This window comes from Homo sapiens, chromosome 5 (genome assembly GCF_000001405.40).
Source record: "Homo sapiens chromosome 5, GRCh38.p14 Primary Assembly".
Classification (NCBI taxonomy): domain Eukaryota; kingdom Metazoa; phylum Chordata; class Mammalia; order Primates; family Hominidae; genus Homo; species Homo sapiens.
In genome coordinates this window covers 38,174,401-38,192,438 of record NC_000005.10, presented here as the reverse complement: position 1 = coordinate 38,192,438, position 18,038 = coordinate 38,174,401, and the positions used below count along the sequence as shown (strand labels likewise).

The following is an 18,038-nucleotide window of genomic DNA, read 5'->3' as shown; positions in this document are numbered from 1 at the left end:
AGAGTGGCAGAGGCCAGGGAAGCATGTGGGTGTTCTAGCTGCTTTTAGCAAAGCCATTCATGTGGTAGCTAGAAGTGATGAGGCCCTGGCCGTGTGGTGGGCAGGCAGGGGCAGGGATCCATGGCAGAAAGAAGAGGGTACACTTTCCTGGAGATGTTTCCAAAACCCCTGGGTAGGGATCTTGAGGTGAGCTCTGGTAAGCGTCTTGAGGACAAGGACCACATCTTATCCAGCCTTGTAGAGTAGCAACTGTTCGGGTCATAGGCTGTGAATAAATATTCCAACTCTATCTCCTTCTGACACATGATAGGATGGCACTTCCCTGCTCACTGGAAGTCGATGTGGCCATGTGACTTTCTGTGGCTAATGAAAGGTAAGCAGAAGCTTTCAGAGCCAATGCAGACTCTACCATATTTTTTTCCTGAGCAGGCAGCTAAGGGCTCCTCCAGGAGCCTGTGTCCCTGTGTGACTCTGATGAGCAGAGTGCCCCCTAGGCTGACTTGTGGCTGACATGCAGCCATTGAAATGTCAGGTTACTGTTTGTTTGTTACAGCAGCAGACCCCAGCCTGTCCTGATTTAGACAGCAGCTCACCTTTGTGTAGCCCTCTGTCACATCCAGCATGGCTTTTTCACACTGCATCACCTCATCTGATCCTCTGGAAAGCATGTGAGGTAGGTCTGTTATCCCAATTTACCAGCTGAAACTGGATCCCTGAAAGCTTAAGTATCCAAGGTTCCAGAACAAAGTGACAGAGCTGGGAATCCAACCCAAGCCCCAGGACGCCAAATCCCATGCTGTTCCTCCCCCACCATCCTCCCTAGTGTGATGACACTCAACAAATGGGTACCGACTGAAATTGAAATGATAATACTGGCCCGCACAGCTGCAATCATCATCATCATAGCACTTTCACGAGGGCAATGCTTTTTCTTGGTGTCATGAACACATAATGTAGGATCGCCAGTTTTATAAAGAGCAAAGGTTAGTAAGAAGTGATGTCTACAGTGTCTTACATGAAAGTTAGACATCAGACATTGCCTAGGGAAGGCTCTTACTGGGACGAATGATCTAACATTTATTGTAGTGTTTTGTTTTTTTTTTTTTTTTTTTAGACAGGGTCTTGCTCTGTCACCAAGGCTGGAATGCAATGGCACAATCTCGGCTCACTGTGACCTGTGCCTCCCAGGTTCAAGCTATTCTCCTGCCTCAGCCTCCTGAGTAGCTGGGATCACAGGTGCATGCCACCACGCCCAGCTAATTTTTGTATTTTTAGTAGAGACAGGGTTTTGCCATGTTGGTCAGGCTGGCCTTGAACTCCTGGCCTCAAGTGATCTGCCTGCCTCAGCCTCCCAAAGTGCTAGGATTACAGGTGTGAGCCACTGCGCCAGGCCTATTGTAGTACTTTGAAAATCAGCTTCTGTAATTAACATTCTCCATGGCTCTGGCACTCTCCTCACACCACTCTGCTCCCCACAAAGTCCCTAACCACAGTTCCCCTGACTCTGAGCTCCTGCATTCTTTCTATCTAAACTCTCCGTCAGTCATAGTTACCTGTTCTAGGGCCTCAATCACTCAGGGCCCATTTTTTTTTTCTCCTGGGAAACCAGCAACCTACTCCAGCTAACTCATGCAAAGGCTGATGGTATGTTATTGCTGCGACTTGTCACACTTGTGTTTTAGCCTGGCTCTCTAGTCCAGCAGTGGGATTTCAGAGCAGCTCACAGGCTGCTAGGGGAGCTATCTCAGCACCGGCCGACTTTTGATTACACCTCAAATCACATCCTGTTGTTGGCAGCCAATTCTACTTAGCCTAAGACCGCTTTCTGCATCCATCCATCCTTCACTGCTGACTTTAAAGGGATCAAAAGAGCCCTGTGTATTTTTCTAATCTCCCTAATCCTCGTAACTATTCCTGTGAGGATGCAGGTATCATCACTACCATTTTTCAGATGAAACGAAGGCCCAGAAAGTTTTAGTGACAGACCCAAGGTCACCCCTGTGAGCCGGTGGCAGAGATGGGAATGGAACTCAGACCGGCTGGTCTCCCAGGCCATCAGTCTCCATTAGACCCTGCTGTCTCGCTGAATTCCCCCTGCAGTTTTAATTGAATATCATGTTCTTCTTCACTTCCTGCCCTAAACAGGGCAACAGCTGCCGCTCACCCTCCTGAGCCGGCTGGCGGTACTTCAGTGGTGGGTGAAGTTATGCTGGGGTGGAAAGCGGGTGAAGCGTTTCAGGATAAAAGGACCCATCAGATTGGAAGATATTCACGACGGTATAAAAGGGATGCCCTGACTTTCAAATGACATCGTGTTGGGGACCAGGCTAAGAGGGAAACTGCTTGGGAGGGTGAGTATGGGAGTTGGAAGGATGGGACACTGTGGAGGAGAAAAAAAGATGCGTGTGTAATTGGATGGAAACTTTCGGCAAAAAAATAAATAAAACCATGGAGCACTGTTATTGGTGAGAGGCCCAATATGCGACATGGCTGAACTGTCCTGGGTTCATGTTCTTTTCTTGAGAACAATGCTTAGGGTTTCAAGGGGATTAAAAGCAAGAGGACTAAGATTCGCTTTGCCCCATTCCATCTGCTGCACAGTTTCTACAGCAGCAGTTCTAAAGCTTTCGGGTGCAGCAGAAGGACCTGGGACACTCGGTAAAAGTATTGGTTTCTAGCCCTCTCCTGAGAGACTGTGGCTCAAGAGAGTTTGTAATTGTCTTGTAGGGCACACTTAGGGGAAGGCAATCAACGGTCATCCAGCTTCAAGAACTTGTGCCCCTGCCTCTCATATACATTTTGGAAAGGTCTTTTCCTTTGGGAATCAGAGGAGGAGGTCTGCAGGGGAGTGGCTTGTGTCTACAGCTGCTAAAAACAAACAAACAAAAAAAACCAATAACTCTACTCCGCAAATGTGAGGTTTGGGTAAGCATAGAGCAGCCTGCTGTCTTTGTCGTGGTCACCACCATCAAAGCATTTGCAGGAGCCTGTCTGCAGGTGGAGTGAGGCTCCTAATTACACTTCAGGGCACAAGAACCTGTGAGGAGAGGGGAATCTTGCCCTTGGAAATATGAGCGGTTTGGTCCAGGCCAGGAGGAAATTGAAAAACTTTCCAACCAAAACGTTTACTTCCCGAAGAGATAAAAAGAAGCTCAGGGTCATAAATCCGGGCCAACACCCAGGCCCCGGAGGTCAGACGGGAGGCCCAGAGGCGGATCAAGGCAAGGAATGCAAGGCGAGAGTCCCCGGCCAGTAGGGAGCCCCAAACACACAGATCCAGGGGCTCAACAGGCACCCAGCGGACAACCCTCAGAGGCCCAGGGCTCCGGGGGCTCAGGCCACTTGTCTGTGGCTAGGCAGCAGGGCCTTGGAGAAGCCTCCAGCCCAGACCCCCCTGTGCTAGCTGTCTGCCCTCTCTATGTGTTGCAGAGTTACATATTTTCTGGAACCCTCCTTAGACATGTTCACGGAAAAAAAAGCAAATAATCAGGGAAGATGGTATAAAGAACTGGCAGTCTCTGTTTTCTCAGCCAAGAACCTGAGCAGAACCAGGCCAGCTGACCAGGTGCCCAGCTTCAATTCCCAGAGGGGGGCTGTCTGCCCAGCTGTGCCCCGTGCCTGGCAAATGGGTGCCTAAGGAGGCAGCCATCGTTATTCTCAGGAACCTATGAAGGGCTCAGGATATCATGAATTATGACTGCCACAGCGAGGACTGAATGATGACTCAGGACACCTTTTGCTGTTAAGTTCCATTTGCGGGCGCTTCTCATTTTCAACAAGCAGAAATTCCTCCTCTGGGGACTGTTTCCCATGCTCCCACTCATCTCAAAGTCTCAGTTACCCCAAAGTTATGAAAATATGCAGAAAGGTGTCAGAGCCAGGGAAATGTGGTCAGAGTAGAACACAGGCTGGTGGGGAGGAGGGCATTTCCAAGGGCAAAATGTGGGCCCACTGGTATTAAAACTTCTCTATTTCCTACATTTTACTTTCTACAGCTAAAGTGTGAAGCAAATCATTGTCCTGTGACCTGAGGGGAGGGTGGAGAAGCTTTAAATGATTTAAACTTGAAACTTGTTCCCCTCCAAACAAAAATGGCATTGTAATGTTAGATAAGTTCTTTACCCTTTCTAGGTCTCAAATTTTTCTCCCCATAATGTAGCTTCCATTTCATCTGGTAAGCAAATCCTGAATTTTAACTGCCTCAGAAGGACCTTGAGCTCTGTGCTTGAAAGGCAGCAAAAGCCGAGTGCAATATTAATGTATAATTATTTACAATACAACCACAAACTCAATTTAAAAGCCAGTTGAAGTGTAAGGAGCAAACCACAAAGATACAGGTAAACATTTAAAGTGGAGACATCACGGTTCAACAAAGAATTGATTCTCTTCTAGAGCAATCATCTCTAAAGCCCATCTCACATTTCTGAAATGCTGTTACAAATAAAACAGAAATCAGGACAAGAGGAGGTGACAAGAGGCAGGAAAAATGCCAATGATCTGGATTTGGCCAACTTCCTGATGGTGGGCATGTCATCCCGTCACTCTGGCCCTTGCTTTCATCGTGTTTTTTGTCTAAATTGCAGCCAGAAAACACATAAGCTTACCCTCTTAACCATTTTCTAGTGTACAGTATTGTTAACTATATGCCATGCACATTGTTGTATAACAAACAGAGCTCTAGAAAGTTCATTCGGCATGACTGAAACCCTATACCCATTGAATAGCTCCTGGTTCCCTGTGTCCCCAGCCTCTGGCAACCACCATTTGACTTTCTGTTTCTATGAGTTTGATTACTTTAGACACTTTACAGAAGTGGAATCAGGCAATATTTGTCTTTTTTTGTGATTGGCTTATTTCATTTAACCTAATGTCTTTAAGGTATGAACCTTGTTGTAGCATGTACTAGGACTTCCTTCTTTTTAAAAGCTGAATGATATTCCATTTTGTGTATATGCCACATTTTCTTTATCTATTCATTCTACCGATGGCTTTTAGGTTGCTTCCACATCTTGGCAATTATGAAGAATGCTACAATGAATATGGGTGTGCAAATGTCTCTTCGAGATCCTGTTTTCAGTTCTTTTGTAAAAATTCTCAGAAGTGGGATTGCTGAATCATATGGCAATTCTATTTTTAATTTTTCAAGTAATCTCTATACTGTTTTCCATCATGCTGCACCATTTTACAATCCCACCAACAGTGTTTTGTCTTCAGGATTGCACTGCTGAAGCCTGTTTCTTCTCCTGTTACAATTGGAACAAGGGTTCCAATTACTCTACATCCTCATCAACATTTGTTTTCCTGTTTTTTTTTATGGTGGCCATCCTAATGGGGGTGAGGTAATATCTCACTCTGGTTTTGCTTTGCATTTTCCTAATGATTAGTGATGTTGAGCATCTGTGAATATGCTGTTGGTCATTTGTTTATTTTCTTTAGATAAATGTCTGCTGAAGTCCTTTGATCATTTTTTTAATTGAGTTATTTGGTTTTTGTTACTGAGTTGTAGGAGTTCTCTATGTATCCATCATTGAGTATGATGTTAGCTGTGGGGTTTTCATATATGACTTTATTATGTTGAAGTAGTTTTCTTCTATTACTAGTGTGTTGAATGTTTTTATCATGAAAGTTGTTAAATTTTGTGAAATGTTTTTTCTGGATTAACTGAGATAATCATGCCATTTTTGTCCTCTGTTCTTTTGATGTGGTGTATTATATTTATGAATTTTTTATGTTGAACTATCCTTGCATCCCACAGATAAATCCCACGTGATTATAAATGTATAATTCTTTAAATGTGCTATTGTATGCCATTCTCTAGTATTTTCTTGTGAGTTTTTACATCAATACCCATCAGAGATACTGGCCTGTAGTTTTTTTTCTGGTAGTATCCTTGTCTGGCTTTGGTATTAGGGTAATGCTGGCCTCATAACATCAGTTTGGAAGTGTTCCCTCTTCTTCAATATTTTGGACGAGTTTGACAAGGATTGGTGTTAATTCTTCTTTGAATGTTTGGTAGAATTCTCCCATGAAGCCATCTTGTTTTGGGCTTTTCTTTGTTGGGAGATTTTTGATTACTGACTCAATCTCCTTACTAATTATAGGTCTGTTCAGATTTTCTACTTCGTCATGATTGAGTCTGGGTAGGTTATAAGAATTTAACCTTATATAACCTGTTTCTAAGAATTTATCTGTTGTTTCTAGGTTATATAATTTGCTGGTATATAAGTGTTAATAATAGCCTTTATAATCCTTTGTGTTTCTGTGGCATCAGTTGTACCTCCTCTTTCCCGATTTTAGTTATTTGTCATTGTGTTTAAAACGAGGTTGTTGAACTAGATGATTTCTAAGGTCTTTGTAGCTCTGAAATTCTTTGACGCCTCAAAATAACATTTTAAAATGTATTATAAAATATTTAAGACATACAAAATGATATAAAGAAGAATACAATCAATGCCCACCTAGCTTAAGAAATAGAAGTCATCAGTGCAGTAGATAACTTTCTGTGTATCCTTCCCCAAGTGTGCTCTCTGTTCCAGAAGAACTCACTGTTCTGAATTTTGTATTTTTTATTCTCATACATATATTTATGCTTTTTATTATATATATGTGTGCATGTGTAAGAGAAATATATATTTTGTTTACTTTTAAGCTTCATATTAGAAATAAAATATTGTATTTATTAGTCTACAAGTAGATTTTTTTCTAACATTTTGTGAGCTTCATCCTTGTTGATGCACGTAGCAGTTGTTCATTTCCCCTCGCTTTACCCCCACCCCCGTTGTAACACTTAATTATATGAAGGTGCCGCAGTTTCGGTATGCATTGTTGATGAACATCAGGTTGTTTTCATTGTTTTGTTTTAACAATCTTTCTCCAAATATCCATGTATATATCTCCCTGAGCGCTTGTGTGGGATTTGCTCTAATAGAAAACTACCAGGAGGATAGCAAATGTGCATTTGCACCTTGACTAAATAATGCCAAATTTTTCTCTAAAGTAATTGAACCAATGTGTACTCCCACCAGCAGGGCATAAGATCTCCTGTTATTCAATATCCACACCATCACTTGGTAGTATCAGACATGTAATGCCCATTCATACATTTTGGCATAAAATGGTAACCTATTGCAGTTTTCCCTATAATTTCCCTGATAACCACTGTGATTGTTCATTTTGTCTTATGTTCAGTAGCTATTTGTGCTTCCTCTTCTGTGAATGGCTTCCTCATTATTTTTTGCCTGCCTCTGATTTTTACCATGGGTGGACTGTATTTACGCTCTATCCCAGGAAAGACATAGATTGCCTGACCAGATCTCACCACTGTGAACCGCATTCTTGAAAAATTTCTAACATAGCTCCCACTTGTGCCACAAGACTGTGTGGGCGAGGATCACCTTTCCTTAGTGCATTCAATGTACCCATGTTTCCTTCATACCAGCCAGTGCAGGTGGCATGAGTGTACCTTCCAGGGCAATGTACTGTTTAAAAATGTGAGTCTCCCATCAGAGAGTTGAAATTCAGAGTTCTCACAGCAGTTGCTGCTAAGCCGATGTTGCTTCTATCCAGATGGCCATGTGTACCACCCGATATGGAGAGACCTAAGCATGTGCTGGAGGGAGGCCATGCCCACTAATCCTCCACATAAAGGGTCATGGAGTTATGGCTCATGCTCTAATACTTAGAATTTCCTGGGTTTTATGGAGAAATGTGCATTCCTGATATTTTTCAAAGTTGCAAAATGCTGATATTTATTTAGAGACGTGTCACAAGTGAAGCCAAAGGAAATATGCCCAAGATTGAATTTGAGATTTCTTTAACTACAACTTGGAGCAGAGTGTTCACTGAAGAAGATTGGCAATGAAGAGGCAAAAAGCCTATTGTGTTAATTCTTGCTTAATGTTTTAAATTAAAAACTAAGGAGTTTGTCCACAAGGGATACAAGAGGTGCCTGTGTCCTTTGATACAAGCTCATACATACATGTTAAATTGCTAATAGAAGAGGTGCTTATATGCCAGGATACAAGAGGTGCTGGGCGTAGGATGAATGGACATCAGTTTGAAAATCTCTCTAGTCCTAATTAGTGTAAGTTGCCACTATTGTCACTATAGGTTGTTGTCCCAGCTACAGTCAGATCGTGTTGGTTTACAAAGTGTAATGCTAGGGTAGACTGGCATGTCCACAGTGGATGCATTCCCACTGCAGAAGACGAAATTCTTGTCAGATCCCAAAGGAAAAATGGGAATTGTGGCTTTGGAATTGAGATACAGTTCATACAATATCCAAGAGGTAGAGGGGAAAGGTATTTTTCTCCAACCTAAGAACTATGTATGTATGTACACACACACACACACACACACACACACACATTCAGAAAAGTGTGTCTACCTGCATGCAGCCCTCATTCTGCTGATTTTAGTTTCTTCCACTTCTGCTTCTAAGTAGCAAAGAAAGCCAAAAATTAGAGGATTGAAAAAAAATGGAAAAAGCAAAAACAGATTTTACCTATAAGGCCTGAAATTCACCCAAAAATGAATATGTTTACCAGCAGATTGTGAAGCAAACCAACACTCCGTCAATATATTCGTCAATTAGTGCATTATTACTGAGTGCAAAGTGTGTCTATTCTGTATTGAGAGGTTCCTGTGTCTTCTCCAGTGCCTACTAGAACAGGTTTCCAGGAATACCCCACACTCATATGGCTGTTCCAGTCTTCAATTGGCATCTTAGACACAGTCTGTAAAGGAAACATAGTAAAAACTGGGGTAAGCAGAGAATAAATAGAAGACTATGGAAGGACCTGGGCAAAGGGAATCCTTGAAATATATGACCCTTGACTCAATCAATCCATTTGCAAATGTTTATTGAAGGTCTAGTATATGCTGTCAATGTCATTGTCCTACAGGCAGTATAATAGTATCTTTCCCTCTGTACCTTAGTTTTCTCAGCTGTAAATTGGGAATAATAATAGTACCTACCCTGAAGTGTTATTGTGAGTATTAAGTGAAATAACATACTTAAAGCATGTAGAACGGTGCCTGACATATGATCAATATACAATCAATATTAAGGAAAGAGAAAAATCATAAGCACATAGAAACTGGAAAACAATAAAGACATCAAAACAAGAGATGTCACAAGGCACTGTATTATTAATTGCCAAACAAATGCTTCTCACCCCTGAATGTCAAAACGTAGGGCACAGAGCTAAGAGAGAGCCAAAAGAGTTTGGTTTCTCACACTAGCCAAGCACCTGCCTTTTGCACGTGTCTGAGAAGCTGCAAACGGGTCCCTCCAGAGACACCATGGATCACGATGCGCTCTTGGGAGAGGACCCAGATCTGCCCCTACGCACAAGGTGGTGCAGTGTAGTGCTAGTGAGTGCTGCTGTGGTGCCAGACTGCCCATGTTTAAAACCTAGTAGTGGCGCTTATTATTTGTAGGCTCTGGACAAGTTATTTAACTCCTCTGAGCCTCAGTTTCTTTCTTGGTAAAATTTGAATGATAACATTGTCTGTTTCATGGGTTTGCATGAGGATGAAATGAGATAGTGCAATATGCTCATAATAGAGTACCTGACATACACACATGTTAAATTGCTCATCTACATGGGATCCTAAACCAGCTGCTTCTTCCACATCTTTAAGGAAAGAAATTCCACAATCTGTCCCAGTGTTCAATGTACCCTTGTGTCAAAACTTCCTCCTGTTAGGAAATCCTCTTTTTTTAAAAGTTTATATAATTTGAGACGGCCCTTAGCGATTTCGATAACCCAACTCACCATACAGGGGAGGAGAAAAGGCTGGAAAGTTTAAGTGACTAGCCCAAAGTCATGCAGTTGGTTAGTGGCAGAGCTAGGACTGGCTCCTGGTTCTCCTGAAACCCAAGTCCATGCTCTTTCTACTAAGTCTGCCGGTATTATTTCCTTTTGCAGGCATCTCATCTTATGCTCATCATGGTAGAGACTTTTTGTGCCACGTGATTCTGGACTCCTGGGCAGAACATTCCAAGCTCTCCATATTCCGGCCTTGATCTACCTGGGGGGCACCCAATACACATGGGCTCTGAATGAATGGCAAAATAAAACAAAGGGTGACAACTGGGCCACAACATCAACTTTATTACAGATCCAGGCTAAATTGGAGAACACAACTTAGAATGAGAGCCAAATGGGCTGGTTACTTGACTCCCTAAATTAGGCAGAGTCACCTGCTGTCCTAGGCATATGGACTAGGGTACCGAGGAGCAGAGGCTTCCATGTGGCAGATGTTCCCCGGCCCAAGAGAAAGAAGGAGGATGGGGCTGAGCAGAACATGCCCGTCTACTCTTTCCCAGTTTGCCAGGCAGAAGCCACTGCACCTCCTCAAGCATGGAGAAAATAAAGGGCAGGAAAGTCAGGAGTGTGAGTAGGAAAAATCTCCTTTCTTAGAAACTAAGAGTGGGAAAAGATTTTCTTTTCTAGTTTCACCTCTTTCAGACCACACCCCTGCCTTGCTCCCTACTCATTGGCCGTACAAATGACTGGTAACCCTTTGACCTCACTCTGTTTCTTTTGTGCTCAAATTATTCCTCTTGAACAGAGTGCCCTTGCCCTCTGGATGCCTTAGTGTTTTTTTTTTTTTTATACTTTAAGTTCTGGGGTACATGTGCAGAACGTGGAGGTTTGTCACATAGGTATACACGTGCCATGGTGGTTTGCTGCACCCATCAACCCGTCATCTACATTAGGTATTTCTCCTAATGCTATCCCTCCCCCAGCCCCCCACCCCCAACAGGCCCCGGTGTGTGATGTTCCCCTCCCTGTGTGTCCGTGTGTTCACACTGTTCAGCTCCTACTTATGAGTGAGAACATGATGCCTTGGTGTTAAATGCCCTCTGTCTAAGTCTGTTTGGGCTGCTGTTATAACAGAAATTTATTCCTCAAGGTTCTGAAGGCTGGGAAGTCCAAGATCAAGGTGCCTGCAGGGTTTGGTAAGAATCCACTTTCTCATAGACTGGGTGGCAACTTCCCACTGCATCCTTACATGGGGGAAGGGTAAACGGGCCTCTTTTATAAGTGCATTAATTCCATTCATGGGGTCTCTACCCCCATGACTCAGTCACATCCCAAAATGCCTACCATTACATAGGGATTTGGTTTCAACCTATAAGTTTTTGTTGAAAGCTAAACATTTAGACCTAGTACTCTTTCATCTTTCAAGACTCAGTTCATGTGTCACCTTCTGTATGAAGCTCTTCCTTCCTCTCCTCATGTCCACCCCCAACACTTTATGGGGTGAGTTGGCAACCTTTTCTTTGTGTTTAGTATGGACTTTCCTCTTACCTCTTTTAGTCGTTTATTCCACTTAATTTTCTGAAGGCAGAGGCACATCTTACTTATCCTATGTTCAAGGCCTTACACAGAACTTTTAAATGCAATAGGTCTTCGATAACTTTTTGGTGAATAATGATGTTGAATGTTTTTCCTAGGCATACCATATGATATTAAGCCAAGTCTCTGCCTTCTTTTCAGAATAAAGATTCTCATTATTTCACTTATACATTAAGTACCAGTAGGTGCATGGCAGTGTTAGTTACTGCGAAGTACATAGCTTGTAGTCTTCCTTTCTAGAATCTTAAAATCTACTTGAAAAAGTATGTTCGCAAGAAATAATTGAGTGTATATACATAATTGATACAAATGTTTCTTTGTACCCATAAATCCCTTTATAATTTACAAAGCAAAATCTGCCAGATCTGCCATTCAATCCAATGACTACCCTGTGAGGCAGGGTGGACTCACTAGCCCCATTTGACAGATTAGGAAATTGGGCTTGAGAAGCCTTGGGGGATTTAGCCAAACACACCCAGCTGTGAATGACAGAACTGGAGCTTGAATCCGGGCGTTTGGCTCCTAACCTAGTGTGGTTTTTCATAATCGGCAGCTAAATGAAAATAATTAAATGCAGGTGTTTGACTATGCAATGGAGGGAGAGTGACGTCTACATCTACTAGTGTCTCCATCACCTTTGGCTATACTGAGAGGTTCAGAGTGCGTGCTGGCTTCCCAATCCCAACACCCCCATGCTTTATTCAAAATCCACCTACAGATGAAGCCCAAGGTCTTTCTGCCAAGCTAATGGGGAAAGTTAGAGGGAGAGTAGAGGCTGAGAAAAGTGTTACCTAAGGTGGAATGTTAGCTATCCAAGTGTACTTAGCAAACTAGAATTTGAAAGACATGCAGATGTAGGTATATAATTTCATGGTCTTTACGCTAGCTCTGAAGCTTCAAGTCTATTGGGGAATTTTTTTGTATCAGAACTGTCTCTTGCAGACTGAGGGGAATGGTGGTAGAATGAGCAAATTTGAGTGGGAACTAAGTCATTTCCTGGCCAAAAAACAGGATTATAATAAACAAGCCATGAGATGGAAATCATTCAGATCTGAGGGAGTACTGTCTGTTCCTGTCTAAACAAGTGACTGCAATTTCCCATTTTTCTTCAGCTTTCACTTAAAAATAATATAGTCCTTTCCAGTCTTCTGCCAGTCTTGTTATAGTGCCTGTAATTTCCCTTCAAATACTTCAGTGTTGATTGTGTGATGTATATATGTGAATGCAAGTTAACTGTAATCTACATTAGTGAACACTGAAAGACCTTCATTCAGGAATGTATGCCATAGAGGAAGAAATAGAAAATACTTCAGCTCTCTCAATTCTAAGCCTGTATCTGAAAGTTGGTTAATTAGCATAAAGAATGGTAAAACATTTTTTTGTTGGTGAAATAAGTGGTGTTCACTCTAAATGACTGGCTAGAAAATTTGTAAAGACACGTCTGTCCTGGCATGAAAGGAGTATAAGAATCTGGTGAGCCCAGCAACCTACTACCTTCAGATAGGTGCTCCAGGCCTGGGAGTTCATTTATTCTTTGTACCTCATGCATGGTGAAGGATGTGGGCACTGACTCTGCTGTCAGAATGTTTGATGCATATGCCTTAGTGTAAGTTTTTCATGCACCAGACTTATCAGATTGCCTTAAATGACTGAGAGTAGGACACTCTAAGATTACAGAATCAGCTTGTATTGTTTGGGGACCTGACTGCTGGTCAATGTTAGAATGGGGTAGAATAAGATAGAATTGGGTCTGAGACTTGCTTTCCTTGTTACCAACAAGTAGCCAGGTTGTGGGGGAAGAAGATATGCAGTTCCACCCACCTCTAATTGTTGGGTGCAACTGACATTTATCACTAGATTCCATCAACTGCTAATGGCCAAAGTGGCTTTAGTTCCTTTTGCAACAGTCCTTAACAATTCCTCCCGTTTTTAAACAAATTCTTCTATTTTTTTCACCTTCTTCCTTTCTTCCTCACCCCTAGCTCTGTCAAATGACACCTGATCAAAGGAGAGGGCATATGAATGTTTATTGAGCTTAATCTATGCCCTTTATATGCAATATTTAATTTCATCCTCATTTAAAATAAAATAGGTATGATTTAGTAAAAGTTGAATCTCAGAGAAGTTAAGAAACCACCCTACCATCACACAGCTAGTAGGTGATAAAGCTGAGATTCTAAAGCCTGGAATTCAGAACTCATATACGGTTTTCAGCAGACAACTCCACACACAATTTTGAAAAAGGCTAATAATTGTTGGCACTTCATGCTCTTCTACCAGATGGGATGTTTTGACAAACCGAAGAATAATCATAATGACCTATGATTACTTTTTCCTATCAAGCGCATTCTCTGCTGTAAACAGGGAGAACTCTTACAGTCTGTAAATAGAGGTTTACTTCCTCTCTGCAATTGCTCTCCAGCCAACCTCACCTATAGTCAGACCATCATGGAGTAACAGTAAACACAAGGAAGGTGATTAATGTGGTGTCAGGAAGCACCTGAGGTCCATATGGATGTGTTTCATTTGACTTTTTTGAACCACTCTTATCTCTAATGCCAAAGCATGGATGGCTCTCCTATTTCTACAAAGGCCCCCAGCCTGGCCTTTGATGATTTCTTTTCCCCTTGGAGGCTTCTTACCTGGAATTTGGCCTGATCTCACCTGGATCAAGAAGTATTGTTTATCAGAGGCTGTTTACTGCAGCCCTTACAGACGACCTCAACCCCTACGCAGGTTAGGCCCACCCATTAATTGCTTCAAGGAAACTTCTTTGGTGTCTGCCTTTTATCCTCTTATAGATGTTTCCATAAAAGAACATGTGTTGTTAGAAGTCCTGTTTGCTCAGTGCTCTCTGTCCCTAAGACTGGCCTTCAGGACACCTGCTAGAGTCCTCTGCATTCAGTTCTGGGTATCACAGACAGCAATACTGCTAAGGAAAGCTCAGGAGATCAGGCACATGAGGGCAGTTCAAGGACAGTAGGGACAGAGTCAAGACAGAGTTAAGCTTCCATTTTGAGAAAACATAACTATATTCTGAAAATGTAATCATGCTAATTAAAATATAAAAAAGGGAAAAAAGGAAGAGCAGTACATTAAGATGGCGATTTCTGTGCAATAGAAATTTAATAGAAAGGTTCTGAAGTACTATTTTGGGTAAATTGAAAAAAAGAAAGAAAGAAAACAAAGAAAGGGAAAGTAATCCAGAACAAGAAGCCAAATCTTGGAGCAGGAGAGGCAGACTAGAGTTCAGCTTCTAAAGAGAAGTATGGAATTAAAATACATACATGGAATTAAAATACATACATAGAATTAAAGAAAACAATATTAGGTAAACACTACATTAGTCATCATCAAAGAGAGAAATTATGAATTGAAAGACAGTTCTAATGAATTTCACAGCTCAGAGAAATAAAGAGAGAAAGATAAAAGCGCTGTTAAGAAAACTGAAAGTTAGGCTGATGATACTTGAAGAAGAGATGGCTAAACATTTTTAAGAACTGAGCCAGGTGTGGTGGCACATGCCTATAGTCCCAGCTACTTAGGAAGCAGAGGCTGGAGGATCGCTTGGGCCCAGGAGTTCAAAGATGCAGTAACCTATGAGTGTACCGTGCACTCCAGCCTGGGCGACAGAGCAGGACTCCGTCTCTAAAACATAAAAATAAAATAAAATTAAAAATTTTAAAAGGCTGGGCATGGTGGCTCATGCCTGTAATCCCAGAATTTTGGGAGGCTGAGGCGGGCGGATCACCTGAGGTCAGCAGTTCAAGACCAGCCTGGCCCACATGGTGAAACCCCATCTCTACTAAAAATATGGTGGTGTGCGCCTGTAATCCCAGCTACTCAGGAGGCTGAGATGAGAATCACTTGAACCCAGGAGGCAGAGGTTGCAGTGAGCCAAGAAGGTGCCACTGCACTCCAGCCTGGGCAACAGAGCAAGACTCTGTCTCAAAAAAAAAAATTAAATAAAAATTAAAAAAGAGTTTTTAAGACTTCATGACTGAAGAAGGTCATGAATTCTTAGAGTGGAAAGAAAGCACGTACTGTGTACAGAAGCAGGATTAAAAAGCAGCAAAAAAACAGAATGACAACAAAACCCCTCAATATTTCACAGCAACATTGAAGAACACTAAGAATAAGGAGAAAATCATTTTTTATTTAATTTTTTTTAATTTTAATTTTTTTTTTTTTTTTTTTTTTGGACAGAGTCTCGCTCTGTTGCCCAGGTTGGAGTGCAGTGGCTTGATCTCAGCTCACTGCAACCTCTGCCTTCTGGGTTCAAGCAATTCTCCTGTCTCAGCCTCCCGAGTAGCTGGATCTATAGGCTCCCGCCCCCACACCCAGCTAATTTTTGTATTTTTAGTAGAGATGGGGTTTCACCGTATTGGTCAGGCTGGTCTCGAATTCCTGATCTCAGGTGATCCACCCGCTGTGGCCTCCCAAAGTGCTAGGATTACAGGCATGCGTCACCGCGCTCAGCCAAGGAGAAAAATCTTAAACTGAGTGTGTTGGGGTTTGCGCAGTAGGATAGGGACCGAACCTCAGATACCTGAAAAGCTGTGTCTTGGAAGAGGAGTTAGGGTGCTTCTGAGGACCTCAGAGGGTGACCCAGGACTTAGGAGGAGAAGGCACAGGGAAGCAGATTTTAAGTGGCTTTCAGGAAAAACATTCTAATAACAAGGGCTTTCCTGAATGAACAGCCTGCCTTCTAATAAGGAAGTGAGTTCTCTGTCAATAAAAGATCTGCCTCTACAGAGTCCTCCATTCTAAAGAGCAGGGGAAGGAAAGGCGGCAGGCTTGGGAGCAACTGGATGGCTGGAATCAGAGTGGTGGGACTTGGGTTACTTGGGCAGCTTAAACGCTGTGGAAAACGGGCCATGAAGGATACAGGAAAATGGAGAGAAAAGAACAGTGTCCAGAGGGGAAATGTGATTTTACCTGTGTAATGATTTGTTTGGATCTGTCCTCTTGCTTGTCATTTTTGAAATGAATTATAAACGTTTCCTCAAATTCTACTCTACAACCTTCCCTAGAGTCAGGCGTCTTCATTGACCTGTTTCTTCTTCCATTTGACACTTTTAGCTGAGTTATTCACCATCTTGAAAGTGGCTGGCCCCATTACCCTTTTCAGAAGAGATTAGATGGCTAACATAAAACTTACCCAAAACTTCTGTGTATGGAGGGGTCACTAGAGATGTCTATTTCTGAGTCTTTGTCCCTTAATTCCCCGATGTAGAAGACAGAATAATTCACCTAAAATCATGACAACTCACATCGGTAGACTGTTTGATGTTTTACAAGGCTCTCTCATGTACACTAACCTCATTTAATTTTCACACACACACAAACACACACACACACACACACACACCACACACACAAAAAAGGCAAAACAGTCATTATCAACTCCAGGAAATCAAGAACTGGGAAGGTTATGCAACTTGCCCAAGCAATCCAAAAAGCAACACTCAGCAGCAAATTCAATGCCTGAGGCTCTAAATCAAGAAATGGTTCTCATTCCTATAAGAAGGACATCAGTCGGGGGAGGAGCCAAGATGGCCGAATAGGAACAGCTCCGGTCTACAGCTCCCAGCGTGAGCGACGCAGAAGACGGGTGATTTCTGCATTTCCATCTGAGGTACTGGGTTCATCTTACTAGGGAGTGCCAGACAGTGGGCGCAGGTCAGTGGGTGCGCGCACTGTGCGCGAGCCGAAGCAGGGTGAGGCATTGCCTCACTCGGGAAGCGCAAGGGGTCAGGGAGTTCCCATTCCTAGTCAAAGAAAGGGGTGACGGACGGCACCTGGAAAATCGGGTCACTCCCACCCGAATACTGCGCTTTTCCGACGGGCTTAAAAAACGGCGCACCACGAGATTATATCCCGCACCTGGCTCGGAGGGTCCTACGCCCACGGAGTCTCGCTGATTGCTAGCACAGCAGTCTGAGATCAAACTGCAAGGTGGCAGCGAGGCTGGGGGAGGGGCGCCCACCATTGCCCAGGCTTGCTTAGGTAAACAAAGCAGCCGGGAAGCTCGAACTGGGTGGAGCCCACCACAGCTCAAGGAGGCCTGCCTGCCTCTGTAGGCTCCACGTCTGGGGGCAGGGCACAGACAAACAAAAAGACAGCAGTAACCTCTGCAGACTTAAATGTCTCTGTCTGACAGCTTTGAAGAGAGCAGTGGTTCTCCCAGTAGTCAGCTGGAGATCTGAGAATGGGCAGACTGCCTCCTCAAGTGGGTACCTGACCCCTGACCCCTGAGCAGCCTCACTGGGAGGCACCCCCCAGCAGGGGCACACTGACACCTCACACGGCAGGGTACTCCAACAGCCCTGCAGCTGAGGGTCCTATCTGTTAGAAGGAAAACTAACAAACAGAAAGGACATCCACACCAAAAACCCATCTGTACATCACCATCATCAAAGACCAAAAGTAGATAAAACCACAAAGATGGGGAAAAAACAGAATAGAAAAACTGGAAACTCTAAAAAGCAGAGCGCCTCTCCTCCTCCAAAGGAACGCAGTTCCTCACCAGCAACGGAACAAAGCTGGATGGAGAACGACTTTGACGAGCTGAGAGAAGAAGGCTTCAGACGATCAAATTACTCTGTGCTACGGGAGGACATTCAAACCAAAGGCAAAGAAGTTGAAAACTTTGAAAAAAATTTAGAA

The 18,038-nt window shown here is 43.0% G+C and overlaps 1 long non-coding RNA gene across 1 annotated transcript in view; it reads right to left on the bottom strand.

Moving 5' to 3' along the window:
- Positions 1–8,506: 8,506 nt before the first annotated feature.
- LINC02107 (long intergenic non-protein coding RNA 2107) overlaps positions 8,507–18,038 on the bottom strand; it is a 158,236-nt gene continuing 148,704 nt past the window's right edge. Inside the window, exon 3 of the long non-coding RNA NR_147009.1 lies at positions 8,507–8,735. This is a non-coding gene — a long non-coding RNA (long intergenic non-protein coding RNA 2107). The remainder of the gene's footprint in view (positions 8,736–18,038) is intronic.